The sequence below is a fragment of the Homo sapiens genome, chromosome 12 (genome assembly GCF_000001405.40).
Source record: "Homo sapiens chromosome 12, GRCh38.p14 Primary Assembly".
In the NCBI taxonomy this organism is placed as follows: Eukaryota; Metazoa; Chordata; class Mammalia; order Primates; family Hominidae; genus Homo; species Homo sapiens.
Window position 1 is genome coordinate 99,698,715 of NC_000012.12, and position 20,777 is coordinate 99,719,491.

General features: G+C 39.3%; 1 protein-coding gene across 21 annotated transcripts in view; it reads right to left on the minus strand.

Annotated features, from left to right (window-relative positions):
* Positions 1-20,777, minus strand: part of ANKS1B (ankyrin repeat and sterile alpha motif domain containing 1B) — a 1,250,151-nt gene that overhangs the window by 963,929 nt on the left and 265,445 nt on the right. Inside the window, exon 1 of one of the 21 annotated variants that reach the window (XM_047429166.1) lies at positions 11,189-11,280. The exons of the other annotated variants lie outside the window; for them this stretch is intronic. The gene's annotated coding sequence lies outside the window, so the exon portion shown is untranslated. Of the gene's footprint in view, positions 1-11,188; positions 11,281-20,777 lie in introns of those variants that run through there. 21 annotated transcript variants of the gene reach the window in all.

Sequence of the window (20,777 nt, forward strand, 5' to 3'; positions counted from 1 at the left end):
TTTCATTCTTGGAAAATTTCTTTTTCCTCTTTTTTACCTGCTTAATGCTTACTCATTCTTAATGTTTCAGCTAAATATGACTATTTCTGGAATATAATAAATTACCATCGATTTCTCTCCTTAAGGCCTATGATGACTTCACACTACTTAATAGATATCCAGATATACACACTCTGCCCATGGTTTTCTTTATCAGATTGTGCTGGACTATCTTATCTAGCTTGTTTTCTTCCTACTGCTGTTCTGTGTGTGTGTGTGGGTGTGCACGCACGTGCGCAAGCACATGTGCGTGCTCTTTATTAGCTCTAACAGATTTTCTTATTTTTCAAATTTATTCATTCACTTATTTTTTCATTCATTCAGATTCATTCAATGACACAGGCAGTGTGCCAGTGAGTCTCCCAAGTTCCATTCTATACTTGGGAACATTTCATTGCCCCCCTGCCACCCACTTCACACAGACACATACGTGTGTGTGCATGTGTGCACATGTGCACACACACTGCTGAAATTCTACTTCTGTAAATTCTTCAATTAATGGAAGAGAAGTCACCATTTTTCCATGTGTTTTTTCTTTCTAAAATTGTGCCATCCATGAATCTACCATTCAAATAACAGTGATTCTTTTCATAAATAATTACTTACTTAATTTATGTTTTGCTCAGCTCTATCTCTTCAGTGCTGACTTTCTTAAGCTATAAAATCCTGGAGAGTAAAAATATATGCCTTTTCATCCCCTTTGCCCTTAGTCCAGCACCTGAGAAGCCGTTAAGAAATACCAACAATAATAATGCATTATGCACAGTGGTTGCACAATAAATATTGACAGAATGAAAACAATACCCTTAATAAATGTGAAAGAACAGAGTCTTCTTGTATTGCTGTTTTAAATATCCCGTAACTTCTGGTCAAATCTCCTTACTTGCTAAACGATACAAAAATTAAGTAATTTGTAAGACTTGCTCAAGATTTTATACTTCAGGATAGAGTGTATATTCATCAATGCAAGTAACTAAAATGTAGAAGAGTAAAATGAATTTTGATAAAGTTATTCCATTTTAATTTCAACACACAGGTGCTGGCACTGATAAATGTAACCTGAAGGTTTAATTCAGAGAAATCTTTGCCTTCAAGCATATTTAAAATAAGCTGTTTGCATTTTCCTGCATATAATTATTCTAACCCTGAAAGCACCTTTTAAATATGGATTACAAATCCAGCTGCCTTAAAATGAAAGTAAAAGGTTTTCCTTTCTCAGTCTATTTTGTAAGTTGGAAATTAATGTAACAGAACTATTTTGAGCTTAGAGAGTTAAACCTTCTGACTAAATTCATGCTTAATTTTTTAATGTATTTGTGAGTTTACCAAGGTTTGCACAGAAGACAACTTTTAAAATATCAAAAAAATTAACAATGCTTCATTTTTTTAACATTGTAATTTTTAAAATTAGTCATCTCTCCTCCTAGAGGGATACTTCACAAAAGAGGCATCCCTTGATCAGGCAGGGTTTACTCAGCCAAGTGCTTGGAATGAACCCAGAGGAACCAAAAGCCCTGATATTTCTGGTATTTATTTGCAAGAAACAGTAGTCTCCCCATACCCATAGGGGTGAGTTCCAAGACCCCCAGTGAATGCCTGAAACTGAGGATAGTACCCAATCCAACTGCCATCAATAGGAACATGCTTCTTTTCATGTATTCTACTCACAAACTGAAAGCCTTTGCCATATTGACTAAGGATTTATTACACACTGTGGCTGTACCTTTTGCAGTTTGAGGTGCAACAACAAAGCGAGCACGAATTTTTTTTCCTTCTTTACAATTTCATGAATGGAAGTCTCATCCCTACCATAGATCTTAGCAACCTCAGCACATAATATTTTTTTTCTTTATTGAGAACTTTCACCTTTTCACTTAAAGCACTTTACAGCTTCTCCTTAGCATATCCCAATTGCCAGCATCATTACTTTTGTAGTGGTACCACAGGTAACTGAAACCACGAAAGTGAAACCCTGGATAAAGGGGAACTACTGTATTCCCATTCTAATTGCTAGGATCCTGTTCCTAACTGGAAACTAACTTTAGAATATGCTAGAGAATTTATGTTCTGCAATTCAATAAAACATGTGATTGCCCTTGACAGTCTCAGGTCATTGACTTGAAGCAGAAAGTTTTGCTTAATGACTACAGAGCAGTCTTCCAATCCCCACCTGCTGAACTGGTGCTTATCTCTTACTTGTAATATCTTGTAAGGAATGCAAGAAACCTACAAACTCTACTATTCTGATTATTTCTACAAAGGTGACCTTTGGTGAGTACGTGGTCTAAGTCCCAAGAAACAACACATTATAGTTTAACTTTGTTACCACACTTCAATAATTGTTTCTCAACCTGGTATATAGAAATTCTAACCAGGCTCCTGATCCATTTTGCCTATTTCATATCTTAGAATCTCTTGGTTGTGCCACCACTTCCTGACACCAGTTGAGACACTTTGGGGTTGCAAGTGGGTTTGCACTTTGGGGTTGCAAAATCCAACTCAAACTAGCTTAATCATAAACTGGAATGTATTATCTCTTGGAATCCAGGGAAATGCTAAACAATAGTATATAGATGAGCCTCAATAAAAATGAACCAACAACAGATATGCTGCTGCTGCTTTTTTTAAATCTTGTATTTTTTTATTTTTATGGGTACATAGTAGGTGTATATATTTATGAGGTACATGAGATACTTTTATACAAGCATACAATGTGTAATAATCACATCAGGGTAAACGAGGTATCCACCACTTCAAACATTCATCATTTCTTTGTGCTACAAACATTCCAATTGTATTCCCTCAGTTATTCACAAATGTACAACATATTATTGCCGACTACAGACACCCTGTTGTGCTATTAAATACTAGATCTTATTCATTGTATCTAACCATATTCTTATACTCATTAATCATTTCCCCATCCCCGCCCCCAACACTACCCTTTCCCAGCCTCTGGTCACCATCATTTTACTCTCTGTCCCCATAAGTTCAATTGTTTTGATTTTTAGATCCCACAAATGAGTGAGAACATGCAAAGTTTGTCTTTCTGTGCCTGGCTTATTTGACTTTATATAACGTCCTCTAGTTCCATCCATGTTGTTGCAAATGATAGGATCTCACTTTTTATGTCTGCATAGAACTCCATCATGTATATGTGCCACATTTTCTTTATCCATTCATCTGTTGATGGACACTTAGGTTGCTTCCAAATCTTGGCTATTATGAATAGTGCTGCTGTAAACATGGGAGTGCAGGTATCTCTTTGATATACTGATTTCCTTTCTTTTGAGTTTATATCTAGCAGTGGGATTGCTGGATCATATGGTAGTTCTATTTTTAGTTTTTTGAGGAACCTCCATATTGTCTTCCATAGTGGCTGTACTAATTTACATTCCCACCAATGGTGTATGAGTTTTCCCTTTTCTCCACATCCTTGCCTGCATTTGTTATTGCTTGTCTTTTTAATAAAAGCCATTTTAACTGGGGTGAGAGGATATCTCATTGCGGATTTATTTGCATTTATCTGATGATCAATGATGTTGAGCACCTTTTCATATACCTGTTGGCCATTTGTATGTCTTCTTTTGAGAAATGTCTATTCAGATCTTTTGCCCATTTTTAAATCAGATTGTTGTATCTTTTTCCTGTTGAGTTGTTTGAGTTCCTTATACACTCTAGTTATTAATCCCTTGTTATAGGGGTTGTCTGCAAATATTGTCTCCCATTCTGTGGGTCATCTATTTACTTTGTTGATTGCTTACTTTCCTATGCAGAAGGTTTTGTTTGATTGCCTTTTTTTTATTTGAGACAGCGTCTTGCTCTATCGCTCAGGCTGGAGTGTAGTGGTACAATTATGGCTCACTGCAGCCTCAACTTCCCAAGCTCAAGCAATCCTCCCACTTCAGCCTCCCAAGTAGCTGGGACCATAGGCATGCACCACCAAACCCAGCTAATTTTTTTTTTTTTTTTGTAGAGGCAGAGTTTCCCTATGTTGCCTAGGCTAGAAGCTTTTTAACTTGATGTGATTACATTTGTCCATTTTTGCTTTGGTTGCCTGTGCTTTGGGGTTATTACTCAAGAAATCTTCACCTAGAACAATGTTCTAGAGAGTTTCCCCAATGTTTTCTTTTAGTAGTTTCATAGTTTCAGGTCTTAGATTTAAGTCTTTAATCCACTTTCATTTGATTTTTGCACATGGTGAAAGACAGGGTCTAATTTCATTCTTCTGCATACAGATATCCAGTTTTCCCAGCACCATTTTTGCAATTTAGATTTCATTCTCTTTCATTATAAATTTTGTTTCTCCACAAGGCAAGAAACATAACCATCAAACATCTAAGTTTTATATCTTAAAGTTTCTTTGGCCATTAAAGGAAACATTGACTCTCTTTCTCTTGATTCCAGTTTTAAATTTCCTGAAAATAATTCTGATTGGCCTGACTTGAATTAGATCAATCTGAAATATTCCATTGTTGAGATGGCATAAAGTGGCCAACTGTCCTGGTTTGCCTGAAACTAAAGGGTTTCCTGGGATACAAATGCATTGACTCTGATACTACTGTTGATTATTTGTAATAGTAAATGAAACATCATGTCTAATGTATTCTGTGTGCTTCAAATCTTTTTAAAAGAAACTGAATTAACTAACTGGCATCCATTGCTCTTCTCAAAAATGTTTTTATATTTTGACTGAAACCCACCATGTGTTATGGTTATCTCCTTTCTTTACGTTTCAGTATCCCTGAAACATATTATCCTGTTTCACGCCTCGTATCTTTACATATGGTATTTCCACCCCTCCCTCCTTATTCATGTGTCATAATCCTCTTCATTTAAACTCAGCTCAGACACTGCTTTTGTGAAGTCATTGTGAATCCTGTTCTCCTCCCCTGGGAGAGTTAGTCATTCCCTGTTTTGTTCTCTACTCCCAGGATATATTTCTGTACTTGTCTCATAATTCTGTTTTATAATGATTTATTTACAAATATATCTCATCACTATCCTATAAGGTATATGAGGCCACATCTTTATATTCCCAGTGCCTAGCGCAAAGCCTGGCATAATGGCAGTATCCCCATAAACGTTTGATAAATCGAAAAATCTAAAATAGGAATATTTTAAATTTGGTTTGGGGCATCAGGTATCATGTACCTATTATTTCTATGATCAGTCTCTGAATAATAGCCAGTATATCTGGCATATTTGTTAACATTTAAATTACAAATGATAGCGTATCAAGAATAATGTGATTACTAAAACCAGTAACGTGATTTGGGCCTTTAAAGAAGTTAATTTCAAGCTTGACTTTGCTGTAGGCCCAAAGTTTATAACTTGTTCCTAAATAGAAGTTAAATGATACCAAAATAGATGTATAAATAAGAACAGAAAGTATGAACATAATCAGCCCTGTTCTCTGACAGGTGGGTTGGAGGCTGAGGATGCATCAAACAGTAAGGAAAGTCCTCTGTGGGCTAACGTGGGAGGGATAATTTGGCTTCCTCTCTCCACAGGCAGATGGAGGCCTTTTCCCCCTGCATAGTTTCTGAGAATGCAATGAGGAAAGATGATTGGGATGCTCATGTGGAACAAGCATACTATTTGGCTTACATTAAAAAATAGAATGAAATGAGTATCCCTAGGGAGAACTAACTTACCCAAGACACTTCAACATTTCTAGACTCATTTCTCTGAAACAGTCTAGAAATAGAAATATATACACATATTAGACTACATCTAGAAATGTATTTGTATATGTATTTCTAGACACACACATACATACACATACATTACATAATATATGCATACACATACATATACACACACACACACACAAACTCTCTAATGAAAACTGTGCCAATTTCAAAAGTGAAGCTAAATTATATTTCAGTTATGCTCCCTTGCATCACAAAATGAGGCTCTCCAGCTTAATATTGGCATTCCCAAGCCAGGTCAAGAAAGTAGGAACTGATAAGCTGTCTGGTATAATAGTTCTCTAGCTAAATCTCTAGAAAGGTGCTGCATCTGACATTTCTTCAAATTAGAGGAAATTTCATAAGACTTGGTAGGGAAAAATATGTCAGATGACAGATATGTATATCTTCTTTCACTTTTGCCCAAAACGTCATTAAAATGATAGAAATATATTTGTAAAGGCATAAAGACATAAAGACAAGCAGAACAAGAAAGGAAACTACAGTAACAAAATTCTGGATGCTATAAAGTAGTTACATGACAAATGACTAAGCAGACTTGAGAACTGGATCCAAAGCTAGCCATAGAAAAAACTAAAAATCAACCTGGTAAGACTACAGAGGACTCATGAATTCCATACCAGATATGTCTGAAAGAATAGGTGAATAAAAAGGCAAAAATAGCAACTATGTGAAAGAATATTTTAAAGCAGTTAGATTCCCATATGCCTTTCTCACTCTATAGCCTGGTGACTATCCGTCCCTCAATCTTGCAAAACACTGAAGATTTCTTCTCTTAGAAGAGTAAAACAGTTCTCTAAACTAATCACAGTTTAGGGTATGGTAAGATAATGAAAATAGGTGATTGAGAAAACAGGTATACTGGATGTTGACATTCCTGTGTGCCCTCTTTCCTTAAACAGCCCTAAGAACTTCCCATTAGGAGCTTAAAAGAGGGATTTCCTAGGATGTTCCGGTCAAAAGGAAAGATCTAAAGATGCTGTTGTCAAGACTTCTCCAACTAAACGGACCAATGGAATCAACCTAAAGCAAAGCTTATAGTGACAATGGCATCTAGAAGACAATATGGTCATTGTTTTAATTTCTCTAGGGAATTTATTCTCAACACTAGAATTTCACATCCAGTCTATGAAGCAAGAGTGAGGACAGAATAAAGACATTTGCATGAAATTACTGGGAGATGTGCTGCATAAAACAAGAAAAGGCATGGCATACAGAAATCAAGATATCCAACAAAGGAAAGAGGCAATAAAAATCCCCAAATGATGGAGAAGAATTGCAAGGTTGATACCTATCAGAAGGAGTAGAAGGTGACCAGTCCGGATTTAAATGAATGGAAAGGCTCAGGTGAGATTCTTCAGAGACATGAAGCATATAGAATACCTGATACACATAAACATGTTAAGAAAAGATGAATCTGGAATTGTGTTGACTATATATACATAGAAAATCAATCACAATTAGGAAAGACAATAATTAATCCTAGGGGAAATAAAACATTGTAATGGAAAGGAAGAGGAATCAGGGTTTAGCCTATGGATCAGTAACATTATAAATAATGTCTGTCGACAAACATAACAAGTAAATAGAGAAGACTAATCTAACCCAAATTTTGCAATTAATGTGTTAAAGAGATAGTCATGGAAAACATGTGTGTGCTTGTGTGGGGTACTGTTATAGTAAGCGGTAGGAAAGAGAGGAATGCCATATTCCATAGTGGGATGTCAATAGATAATGTCTAAAACTGAAACATTAAAAAGGAGCAAAACAAATAGATTAGAGACATAAAGATAAATACCCAGATAACTAGATAAAAGAGATGAAGGTGTTGGGAGGAAGAGAAGAAGATGGTTGGGGTACTGCTTTTTAAAATAATAATAAATAATATATAAATATTTGACAATTCAAGTAAAATCCTCTAAAACTTATATAATCTTGACTTTATGATATTATATAATTTACCTAAATTGAATGCATCAATTCTCACCCATAATTACTTTTTGTAAGCTCAAACATTAAGAATTTGGCAATGTCTTATAACTCGCTTCTGTGTTAGGGACCTATGGCAGAAAAACTCTGAAATTACCCCCAATTATCCCTGTTTCTCATGCCTTTGTGTAATCCCCTCCCCTTGAGTGGAAGCAGAACCTCTGGTTTGTTTCTAGCTAATAGAATATGACAAAGACAATGGCATGTTAATTCCATAGTTATGTCACATAAGATTGTGACTTCCATTTTGCAAACATACCCTCTGTTGATTCTCTCCCTTTCTGGCTTTGATGAAGTAAGCTACCATATGGAAAGGCCATGTGGTAAGGAACTAAGGGAGGCTTACAAACTGAGGCTCTCGGTCAAGGAATTGAAAGCATTCAGCAAGGAACTGGGGTCCTCCATTGACAAACCACAAGGAACTGAATTCTGCCAACAGCCATGTGAGCTTGGAACCAGATCCTTCCCCAGTCGAGCCACAGACGAGGTCCCATTCCTGGGTGACACCTTGATTCTAGTCTTGTGAGAGAACATGAAACACAGGACCCAAGCCATGCTTGAATACCTGACACACGAAACTGTGAGATAATAAATATTTTGCATAAGGCACTAAATTTGTGGTAAAATGGCCACACAGCAATAGATGAATAAAGGATCTAACCAAAAGAGACCATGATTTGAGCACCTCTCCAACTCAGGTGTTACAAAACAAAGATTGTTGAGTTCTGCTTGTCAGAGGTATGAATTCTGACTGATTGCCCAAGCCTCCAGTTTGTTTGCATCATCCAGCTACTTAAGCTGACACTGCTACACCTAAGGTTCAGCACGGCAACCTCAGATGACTTCATTCTGGGCTACGTCATCCAGAAGTCATAAAATTATCTCCCAAATATTAAAGAATTTAAACAAATTACTATCTTTAGCAGTGCCAATCAAATGTCACCCAAGAGGTAAAGTAATATTCACTTCAGTATTTTAGAGGGAAAAGTCATAAGAGGTAACACATAATAGAAATCTTCTATTTAATAAAATGTTAAGAGTAGATGGGAAAAATCAAGTTTTTCACCCTCTAAAAAGCATACATTCTAATTACAACACATTAAATATTTAACAAATCCTGAGTTCTAGGTAAATGGAAAGGAAATTTCCTTTGCTTTTAATTTAGAATAAAAGGTGATATGTGGGTGGTGAAATGGTGCAGCTTACAGTGCCTACATTATTGTACAGAAAGAAAGGGCAGCAGGGAGCTAGAATTATAGAAGCAGGAAAAAAATGGTATGACAACCAGGTAGGCAGCAATAGCCATTTGACTCTCTACCTACCAGCTCTCATAGGCTTCGCTGTCTTAGAGTTATTATAACTATATTGCTAAAGGAAAAAAAAAGTGTGGTTATTTGTTACTTAGCTGTCCTTATCACACTGACTCAGAAATCAGGTGTATGTGTGGGAGAATTTTCAAAAGAAAATCCACATACAGCTGTGAATCACTCACCTGAAGAACAATGAGCCAAATGGGCAATCACTGAGACAAACTGTCACTTATCAAAACTCTATAAGCAATGCGGAGGTTAACCTGGGGGTCTGAATCTGTCAGTGCCAAGTTTCTTCCAGCTGTCACAATCAGACAAGCTGCCTCCATCATAAAATAATGCAAGCCAAATTCAACTGAGTGGGACTCAAAGAAACATCTGAAATTCAACAACAGCAGCCTTGCCATCTAGACTATTTTGTGACAAAGTTGATGACAAGGGGTTGGAAATGACAGAATACATCAGTATGGAAGTCTCTCTTTAATGACCCGATGTCATGAATGAAGCATGAAGGACAAGTGACTAAACACATATCATTCTTATTTAATACCATATTGAGGACTAAGGCTCACATTATCCTCTACAGGTACTGCTTGGATCCTGTATTAGTTTCTTTTGCTGCTGTAACAAATTACCACAAATTTAGTGGCTTAAAACAATACAAATGCATTCTCTTTCAGCTCTGGAGGCCAGAAATAAAAAGTCAGTTTCACTGGGCTAAAGTCAAGGTGCCACAAGGGCTGCCTCCTCTAGAGGATCTGGGAATAATCTGTTTCTTGACTCTTCCAGCTACTAGTGGCTATGCTATGGGTATTCCTCATTGGCTCTGGCTCATGGCCCCTTCCTCCCATCTTCAAAGCCAACAGTTTAGTATCTTCTATCATTGCATTTCCTTATTCTTTCTGTAGTCTATTCCCCCTCTACCTCCCTCTTATAAGGACAGTTGTGATTACATTTAGGGTCCACCCAGATAACCCAGAATTATTTCCATATCTCAAAATCCTAATTCACATCACATCTGCAAAGGCTCTTTTGCTATAAAAGGTAACATTCACAGTTTCCAGGAATTCCAACCTGGATATTTTTGGGAGCTATTATTCAGCATACCACAGGTCCTGTCTCATAAATGTTTTAATTGGAAGCTGTTCGTCTGTGGTAAAGAGTTTATTACTCATATACAAAGCCATCTAAAATACAATAAATGTAAATTAATTAGAGATTGAAAATCAATAGTATTTTGACTCCTAAACACTTTATTAATTGTTCTGGGAAATTTTTGAGCCATTTCTCTTGGTAAACATAATGTAAAAAAACTAAAGAGCAGATTTTAGTGGGTCAATATTATCTTGGCAATCTCATGAATACTGCTGTGTGTGTGTGCACGCACACATGCACACATAAGCACACGCAAGCTTGTGAGGGTCAGGAGATTGGATAAAGGTATACTAAAAGTGAACACTTAAAGAATTCTAATGATACCTGCATGCTGTACTCATGGAATGATTCACACTATAACAACTATGGGTGCTGGAATGTACTTCAGTAAGCATCAGGCAATTTTAATTCAAAAGACTCTGAGCAGATTTTGAAGCAGTTGCTCTGACACCTGAGGGTGTAACCATGTTTGAAGGTGTGTGGGATGTTGAGAGGAGAAGGAACTAACTTTTATTAAATGGCTACTATGTTTCAGGTACAGAGTTACAGGTTTTACAAATTTTAATGTTAATTAAGGCTCACGACAACAGATGCTGCAGGTATTAAAAGAAGATAATAATACCCAGAGAGGATTAGGTAACTTTTCCAAGTTTGCCAGCTAGCAAGTGGTATAGCTAGACCCACATTTTTTGAAATCTAAATATCCATAATGGGGTTTTAGCATGTTAGAGCAGATATAGGAGAGGTCAAGAGTCAAGAAAACACAATGGTTCTTTCAGAAGAGCTCTGGGGAAAAAAGGAATGAGACAAGGGGAACAACATTATCACACACTGCACCAGCTGACTATAGTGGTAGGTCATAATGACTGCAAAACAGTGTGCTGGGCCCCATTTAGTGATGACATCACAATACATAACTCTAAGCAAATAATGTTTCTACTTCTGATTCCTATTTCACTGCTTTGACCCTCCATCACTTACCTGGGCACAGAGTATTCATGGTATCACTTCTCCCCATAAAATGGGTTTGACAACCAAGCCCAATTTCTTACTTCATCCTCAGATGTAGCCTTATACCTTTAAATGAACAGAGATTAATTGCATAGATTTTCCATAATGGGGCTCATTCATTTTCCGTATTATAGTATCTACTTTCTAAAGCTGATTTTACTGAGATCTAATTTTCCAGCTCATGCCACTATAGAAATGACTGTTAAAAACTTGATCCAACAGGAATCTGAGTCATTGCTACAATGGGAAAACATCTGTACCATAAAGAAGACAAGATTGTCATTTCATTAGAATTCCTCTTGACTTTAAACCATTAATCTTTGTCAATAATGGGATATTCATTTGCAGCTCACTAACTGGAATAAAACTGAAAGTGATACCATCAAGATATACATAATTCTTTGATAAAACCACAGCTTTAGGGTCCATGCCTCCAAGGATAATTAAAGAAATAGCTGTTGGTGTTCTGAGTCTGCTTGAGTAACCTATAGTTTATGGGATAAAAGAGATAGATTAAGACAGGGCGAATCCAGGCCAAGACTTCACTGAGATCTCAAGTCTATGTATTGTGAACATATGTTTTGTGGGGGAAATGAATTAGGTAAGACATGTCATGAAACGAAGGACTGAGAGTCAATGTGGTTTTTTCTTTATAATACCTTCAGTAGCAAAAATTCCTTTCCTTATTTATAGGCATCCTTTCATACTTTGCCTTTATCATAGAGAAGAATATATCTCTGGTCCTTTTTAGTCAATATCTATGAACAGCTGAAAATACAATGAAAGTAAGAATTGCTTCCCAAAGTTCCTGTTTGCATTTCCGTTTATTTACATATGTTCCTTTAGACCTATATAGACCCAAAACAACCTGAGATAAATGCCACTCATAACTGTATCCCTCAGGGGAGCATATAATTAACAAAAGCCCATATATTTGAGCTTAACTGATTAATCATTTTCCCTCAACTCTTTCCATTATAATTCAGTTTGCTTTGTGTTAATTCCTTTTTTTAAATAATCTCTCAACTCCTCCTATCACCCAGGCTGAAAAACCCAGGAATCACCAAAGACCCTCTCCCTCAACTCCTGCAGCCAAAGCCCAGTCCAACAGAATCTATCCAACTTCCTTATTTCACTTTTCCAGCTCTGATTGGATTTGTATCTATAATAAATCAAAAAGAGGTCAACTAAGAACAAAACTAACATCATTAGAATAAAATCACCTTATAAACTGGAATGCAAGGTGCTAATGTTATTACTTTTCATTCTGATAAAATCACCTTATAAACTGGAATGCACCATGCTAATGTTATTACTTTTATCTTTTTTTTAGTTTGTACTGCACATCACAGTTTTAATTTTTTTAACTTTTAAGTTCATGGTTCATATGCAAGTTTGTTATATAGGTAAATTTGTGTGATGTGGGTTTATTGTACAGATTATTTTGTCACCCAGGTACTAAGTCTAGTACTCATTAGTTATTTTTCCTGATCCTCTCCACCCTTCCAGCCTCCACCCTCTGATAGGTCCCAGTGTATGTTGTTTCCCTCTATGACTTAAACAAAATGACAAAAAAGAGCAAACAACCACATTTAAAAGTGGGCAAAGAACGTGAACACTTTCCTAAAGAAGATATACCTGTGGCCAACAAGCATATGAAAAAAAGCTCAATATCAATGATCATTAGAGAAATGCAAATCAAAACCACAATGAGATACCATCTCGCACCAATCAGAATGGCTATTATTAAAAAGTCAAAAAAATAGATGCTGTCAAGGTTGCAGAGAAAAGGGAACATTTATACACAGTTGGTGGGAATGTAAAATTAGTTCAACCATTGTGGAAGACAGTGTGGAAATTCCTCAAAGATCTAAAGACAGAAATACAATTCAACCCAGTAATCCCATTACTGCATATATACTGAGAGGAATATAAATCATTCTGTCATAAAGACATGCACACATGTGTTCATTACAGCACTATTCACAAAAGCAAAGACATGGAATCAAACTAAATGCCCATCAATGATAGACTGGATAAAGAAAATATGCTACCTATACACCATGGAATACTATCCAGTCATAAAAAATAATGAGATCATGTCCTTTGCAGGGACATGGCTGGAGCTGGAGGCCATTATCCTTAGCAAACTAATGCAAGAACAGAAAACCAAACATTGCCTGTTCGCACTTACAAGTGGGAGCTGAATGATGAGAATGCATGGACACACAGAGGGGAACAACATATTATTTTTATCTTTACTTGAAAAGTATGTCTTGATTTCCTCCATATAAAATTCAAGACCTTGGGGATGCAGACAAAATAGGTTGTTTCATGTGGGGTTTATGATAGGCTGAATAATAGCCCTTTCAGGATGGCTACATCCTAATAACCAGAACCTGTGAATATTTTACCATAAACACACATCACAAATGGACCTATGAAGCTACAATTAAGGTTCCTGAGAGTGAGAGATTATTATGGATTATCTGGATAGACCCAATGTAATCACAAGAGTCCTTAAAGAAGGAAAAAAGGGTCAGAGTCAGACAAGGTAATGAGAAGAGGGCAAGGGCCCCAATAGTCTCAACCCCTTATAACATACATTCAAATACAAAATACCATCTAAATCTCATCAGCTTAAAAGTCCCAAACCTTATCATCTAAAGGATCTATGGGTGAGGCTCTGGATATAATCTATCCTGGAGAAAAATACCTCTCCATCTGTGGATCTGTGAAGCTAGAAAATAAGTTATCAGATCAAAAAGTACAATGGTGGCACAGGCATAAGATAATCAATATAGACATTCTCATTGGGAGAAAATAGAAGGGGAAAAAGGGGTCACTATTCCCATGACATTTTGCAATCCAACTGGGAAAATTCTATCATGTTTCAAAACCCAGGAATAATCCTCTGTGGCTGGAGGGTCCATCCTCTGGGCCCGTGGCTCTGCCATGACCTCAGAGTTATCCTTCTTTTCATGAAGGGTAATGTGTCTAAACCTGAGTTATTTTATTAGCCTGTTTTCTAACTGGAGAATTTTGGAAGTCAAACAAACTTCTATCATTTTGTTCTTTCTCTGTCTCTTTCAGTCCAAGCTGGCAGTGTTTCTGCTGATACAACATTCTCAAAAACTTTGTGGGTCTCCCACACATGTTACAGGGAGTAAATCCATCAAACAAGAGGCTCTTCCACAAATATATGCAGGATAATCCCATTTTTATTCCTGGCTCCTATTGAGATCTGTGAGGGGATCCATGAGTCATATACTTAATCTTTTCAAACACTTTTCTGTGTGATTAAAATACTGACCTTATCTAAAATCGTTCCAAGGCACAAGCAAAAGACTGCTCAGCCAAACCTTTGGCATTCTCTCCAGAGCATACTTTCTTGTAATCAAATCTTCTAACTTTAGCAGTTTTTGAAAGCTGAATAGACTGAGAATTTCCTAAATTATCAAGTCCTAGTTCCTTTTTGTTTAACAGTTCTTCCCTTAATCTATGTCTTTCCTCTCACATTTTACTATAAGAAACAAGAAACCAAGCCACATTTTCAACAGTTTGCTTGGATTTCCAAGCAAATTTCCTCGGCTAAATCTCCACGCTCATGGCTTAGAAATTCTATTTCCCACATGACTGCAGAACAAAATTCTGCTGAGTCTTCTGCCACCAAATAACAAAGAACCCTTAATTCCATCTGGGCCATTATGAGGAGTTCCTTTAGTATTCCTATTTCTATAGTTTATTTATAATAGCTTTAATATTCTCTAAGACAATTTAATTTTTCTCTATTATGTTCCTCACTTCCTTCTGAGCCCTTACTAGCAGAGTCCTTAGTATCTATATTTCCACTAGCAATCTGTTCACAGAAATCTAGGCTTTTCTATCATGCTCCTCAACATTCTTCCAGCCTCTTCCCACTGGAAATCACAACCACATTTTTAGGTATTTGTTAGCGCATAACCTCACTTCCAAATCTATGTTAGCTTCCTACTTCTGCTCCAATAAATTCTCACTAACTTAGTGGCTTGAAACAATGCACATTTATCTTCTTTTTCTGGAGGTTAGAAATCTAAAATAGATTTTGAAATGTACTGACATTTATGAGTCTTACATGACTAAAATTAAAGTGTCATAATCTTCATTCCTTATGGATACTTTAGGGAAGGATCCATTCCTTGCCTTTCCCAGCTTCAAAAGGCCGCCCGCATTCCATGGCTCATGGCTACATCACTTGGATCTCCGCTTCTGTCATCACATCTCTTTCTCTCCCTCTGCTTCTGTCATGGCATTGCTTTTTATGACACTACCCCTCATGCCTTCTTCTCATAAGAACCCTTGTGATTTGTCTGGACCCACAGAAGTAATCCAGGATAATCTCAAGAACATTAACTTAATCACCTGTGAAGCCCTTTTTGCTATGTAGTCATACCTCATTTTATTGTGCTTTGCTTTATTGCTCTTTGCACATATTGCCTTTTTACAGATTGAAGTTTTGTCACAACCCTGCATGGAGCAAGCCTATCAGCACCATTTTTCCAACAGCATGTGCTCACCTCATGGCTTGGTGTCACATTTTGATAATTCTCACAATATTTCAAGTTTTTTATTATTATTATATTTTTTGTGGTGATTTGTGATCAGTGACCTTTGATGTTACTACTGTAATCACTTGAGGCACCATGATCCACTATCACATAGAATGGTGAATTTAATCAATAAATGTTGTATGTGTTCTGACTGCTCCACCAACCAGCCTTTGCCCTGTCTTGTTCTTTCTCCTTGGGCCTCCTAGTTCCTGAGACACAATAATATTGAAATTAGACTGATAAATAACCCTATAATGGCTTCTACTGTTCCAGTGAAAAGAAGAGTCATACATCTCATTTTAAATCAAAAACTACAGGCCCAGTGCAGTGGTTCTACCTGTAATCCCAGCACTTTGGGAAGCCAAGGCAGACAGATCACTTGAGCTCAGGAGTTCGAGACCAGCCTGGCCAACATAGTGAAATCCCATCTCTATTAAAAATACAAAAAAAAAAAAAAATTAGCTGGGCATGGTGGCAGGTTCCTGTAATCCCAGCTACTCGGGAGGCTAAGGCAGGAGAATAGCTTGAACCTGGGAGGCGGGGGTTGCAATAAGCAGAGATTGCACCACTGAACTTCAGACTAGGCAACAGAGCAAGAGTCCATCTAAAAATAAAAAATAATAAATAAATAAATAAAAAGCTACAAATGATTAAGCTTGGTGTCAGGCCTCGAGCCCAAGCTAAGCCATCATATCCCCTGTAACCTGCACGTACACATCCAGATGGCCAGTTCCTGCCTTAACTGATGACATTCCACCATAAAAGAAGTGAAAATGGCCTGTTCCTGCCTTAACTGATGACATTGTCTTGTGAAATTCCTTCTCCTGGCTCATCCTGACTCAAAAGCTCCCCTACTGAGCACCTTGTGACCCCCAACTCCTGCCCACCAGAGAACAATTCCCCTTTGACTGTAATTTTCCTTTACCTACCCAAATCTTATAAAACGGCCCCACCCCTATCTCCCTTCGCTGACTCTTTTCGGACTCAGCCCGCCTGCACCCAGGTGATTAAAAGCTTTATTGCTCACACAAAGCCAGTTTGGTGGTCTCTTCACACGGATGCGCATGAAATTTGGTGCCGTGACTCGGATCAGGGGACCCTTGGAGATCCCTTGGGAGATCAATCCCCTGTCCTCCTGCTCTTTGCTCCGTGAAAAAGATCCACCTATGACCTCGGGTCCTCAGACCCATCAGCCCAAGGAACATCTCACCAATTTTAAATCGGGTAAGCAGCCTCTTCTTACTCTCTTCTCCAACCTCTCTCACTATCCCTCAACCACTTTCTCTTTTCAATCTTGGCACCACCCTTCAATCTCTCCCTTCTCTTAATTTCAATTGCTTTCATTTTCTGGTAGAAACAAAGAAGACACATTTTATCCGTGGACCCAAAACTCAGGCATCAGTCACAGACTTGGGAAGCCAGCCTTCCCTTCATGTTTAATCATTGCAGGGACGCCTCTCCATTTACCCACGTTTCAGAGGTGTCTGACCACGCAGGGATGCCTGCCTCGGTCCTTCACCCTTAGCAGCAAGTCCCGCTTTTCTGGGGGAGGGGCAAAAACCACAACCCCTTCTCTCCCTGTCTCTACCCCTTCTCTGCTTTTCTGGGGTGCAAGAACCCCCCGATCCCTTATTTCCGTGCCCCGACCTCTTATCTCTGTGCCCCGATCCCTTATTTCCATGCCCTGACCTCTTATCTCTGCACCCCAATTCCTTATTTCCATGCCCTGACCTCTTATCTCTGCGCCCCGATCCCTTATTTCCACACCCCGACCTCTTATCTCTGCACCCCAACCCCTTATTTTGGCGCCCCGACACCTTTCCCACTTTTCTGGAGGGTAAGAACCTCCGAACCTCTTCCCTCCATGTCCCTACTCTCTCTTTTCTCTGGGCTTGCCTCCTTCACTATGGGCAACCTTCCACCCTCCATTACTCCTTCTTCTCCCTTAGCCTGTGTTCTCAAGAACTTAAAACCTCTTCAACTCACACCTGACCTAAAACCTAAATGCCTTATTTTCTTCTGCAATGCCGCTTGACCCCAATACAAACTCAACAGTGATTCCAAATAGCCAGAAAATGGCACTTTCAATTTTTCCATCCTACGAGATCTAAATAATTCTTGTCGTAAAATGGGCAAACGGTCTGAGGTGCCTGACATCCAGGCATTCTTTCACACATCAGTCCCTTCCTAGTCTCTGTTCCCAATGCAAATCGTCCCAAATCTTCCTTCTTTCCCTCCCGCCTGTCCCCTCAGTCCCAACCCCAAGCGTCGCTGAGTCTTTCTAATCTTCCTTTTCTACAGACCCATCTGACCTCTCCCCTCCTCGCCAGGCCGAGCTAGGTCCCAATTCTTCCTCAGCCTCTGCTTCTCCACCCTATAATCCTTTTATCACCTCCCTTCCTCACACCTGGTCCAGCTTACAGTTTCATTCCGTGACTAGCCCTCACCCACCTGCCCAGCAATTTACTCTTAAAAAGGTGGCTGGAGCTAAAGGCATAGTCAAAGTTAATGCTCCTTTTTCTTTATCCCAAATCAGATAGCATTTAGGCTCTTTTTCATCAAATATAAAAACTCAGCCCAGTTCATGGCTCGTTTGGCAGCAACCCTGAGATGCTTTACAGCCCTGGACCCTAAAAGGTCAAAAGGCTGTCTTATTCTCAATATACATCTTATTACCCAATCTGCTCCCAACATTAAATAAAACTCCAAAAATTAAATTCCGGCCCTCAAACCCCACAACAGGACTTAATTAACCTCTCCTTCAAGGTGTACAATAATAGGGTAGAGGCAGCCAAGTAGCAACATATTTCTGAGTTACAATTCCTTGCCTCCACTGTGAGACAAACCCCAGCCACATCTCCAGCATACAAGAACTTCCAAACGCCTAAACCGCAGTGGCCAGGTGTTCCTCCAGGCCCGCCTCCCCCAGGAGCTTGCTACAAGTGCCAGAAATCTGGCCACCAGGCCAAGGAATGCCCACAGCCCGGGATTCCTCCTAAGCCGCGTCCCATCTGTGTGGGACCCCACTGAAAATTGGACTGTTCAACTCACCTGGCAGCCACTCCCAGAGCCCCTGGAACTCTGGCCCAAGGCTCTCTGACTGACTCCTTCCCAGATCTTCTCGGCTTAGTGGCTGAAGACTGACACTGCCCGATCGCCTTGGAAGCCCCCTAGACCATCACGGACGCCGAGCTTTAAGTAACTCTCACAGTGGAAGGTAAGTCCGTCCCCTTCTTAATCAATACGGAGGCTACCCACTCCACATTACCTTCTTTTCAAGGCCTGTTTCCCTTGCCTCCAAACTGTTGTGGGTAGTGACGGCCAGGCTTCTAAACCTCTTAAAACTCCCCAACTCTGGTGCCAACTTAGACAATACTCTTTTTTTTTTTTTTTTTTTTTTGAGACGGAGTCTCGCTCTGTCGCCCAGGCTGGAGTGCAGTGGCGCGATCTCGGCTCACTGCAAGCTCCGCCTCCCGGGTTCACGCCATTCTCCTGCCTCAGCCTCCCGAGTAGCTGGGACTACAGGCGCCCGCTACCACGCCCGGCTAATTTTTTGTATTTTTAGTAGAGACGGGGTTTCACCATGTTAGCCAGGATGGTCTCGATCTGACCTCGTGATCCGCCCGCCTCTGCTTCCCAAAGTGCTGGGATTACAGGCGTGAGCCACCGCGCCCAGCCGACAATACTCTTTTAAGCACTCCTTTTTAGTTATCCCCACCTGCCCAGTTCCCTTATTAGGCCGAGACATTTAACTAAATTATCTGCTTCCCTGACTATTCCTGGACTACAGCTGTATCTCATTGCCACCCTTCTTCCCAATCCAAAGCCTCCTTTGCGTCCTCCTCTTGTATCCCCCCACCTTAACCCACAAGTATAAGATACCTCTACTCCCTCCTTGGCGACTGATCATGCACCCCTCACCATCTCACTAAAACCTAATCACTCTTACCCCGCTCAATGCCGATATCCCATCCCACAGCATGCTTTAAAAGGATTAAAGCCTGTTATCACTGGCCTGTTACAGCATGGGCTTTTAAAGCCTATAAACTCTCCTTACAATTCCCCTATTTTACCTGTCCTAGAACCAGACAAGCCTTACAAGTTAGTTCAGGATCTGCGCCTTATCAACCAAATTGTTTTGCCTATCCACCCCATGGTGCCAAACCCATATACTCTCCTATCTTCAATACCTCCCTCAACAACCCATTATTCTGTTCTGGATCTCAAACATGCTTTCTTTACTATGCCTTTGCACCCTTCATCCCAGCCTTTCTTCGCTTTCACTTAGACTGACCCTGACACCCATCAGGCTCAGCAAATTACCTGGGCTGTACTGCCACAAGGCTTCACAGACAGCCCCCATTACTTCAGTCAAGACCAAGTTTCATCCTCATCTGTTACCAATCTTGGCATAATTCTTATAAAAACACACACGTGCTCTCCCTGCTGATTGTGTCCGACTAATCTCCCAAACCTCAATCCCTTACAAAACAACAACTCCTTTCCTTCCTAGGCATGGTTAGTGCAGTCAGAATTCTTACAGAAGAGCCAGGACTGCACCCTGTAGCCTTTCTGTCCAAACAACTTGACCTTACTGTTTTAGCCTAGCCCTCATGTCTGCGTGCAGCGGCTGCCGCTGCTTTAATACTTTTAGAGGCCCTTAAAATCACAAACTATGCTCAACTCACTCTCTACAGTTCTCATAACTTCTAAAATCTATTTTCTTCCTCACACCTGACACATATACTTTCTGTTTCCCGGCTCCTTCAGCTGTACTCACTCTTTGTTGAGTCTCCCACAATTACCATTGTTCCTGGCCCAGACTTCAATCCAGCCTCCCACATTATTCCTGATACCACACCTGACCCCCATGACTGTATCTCTCTGATCCACCTGACATTCACTCCATTTTCCCATATTCTTTCATGTTCCTCACCCTGAACACACTTGGTTTATTGACGGCAGTTCCA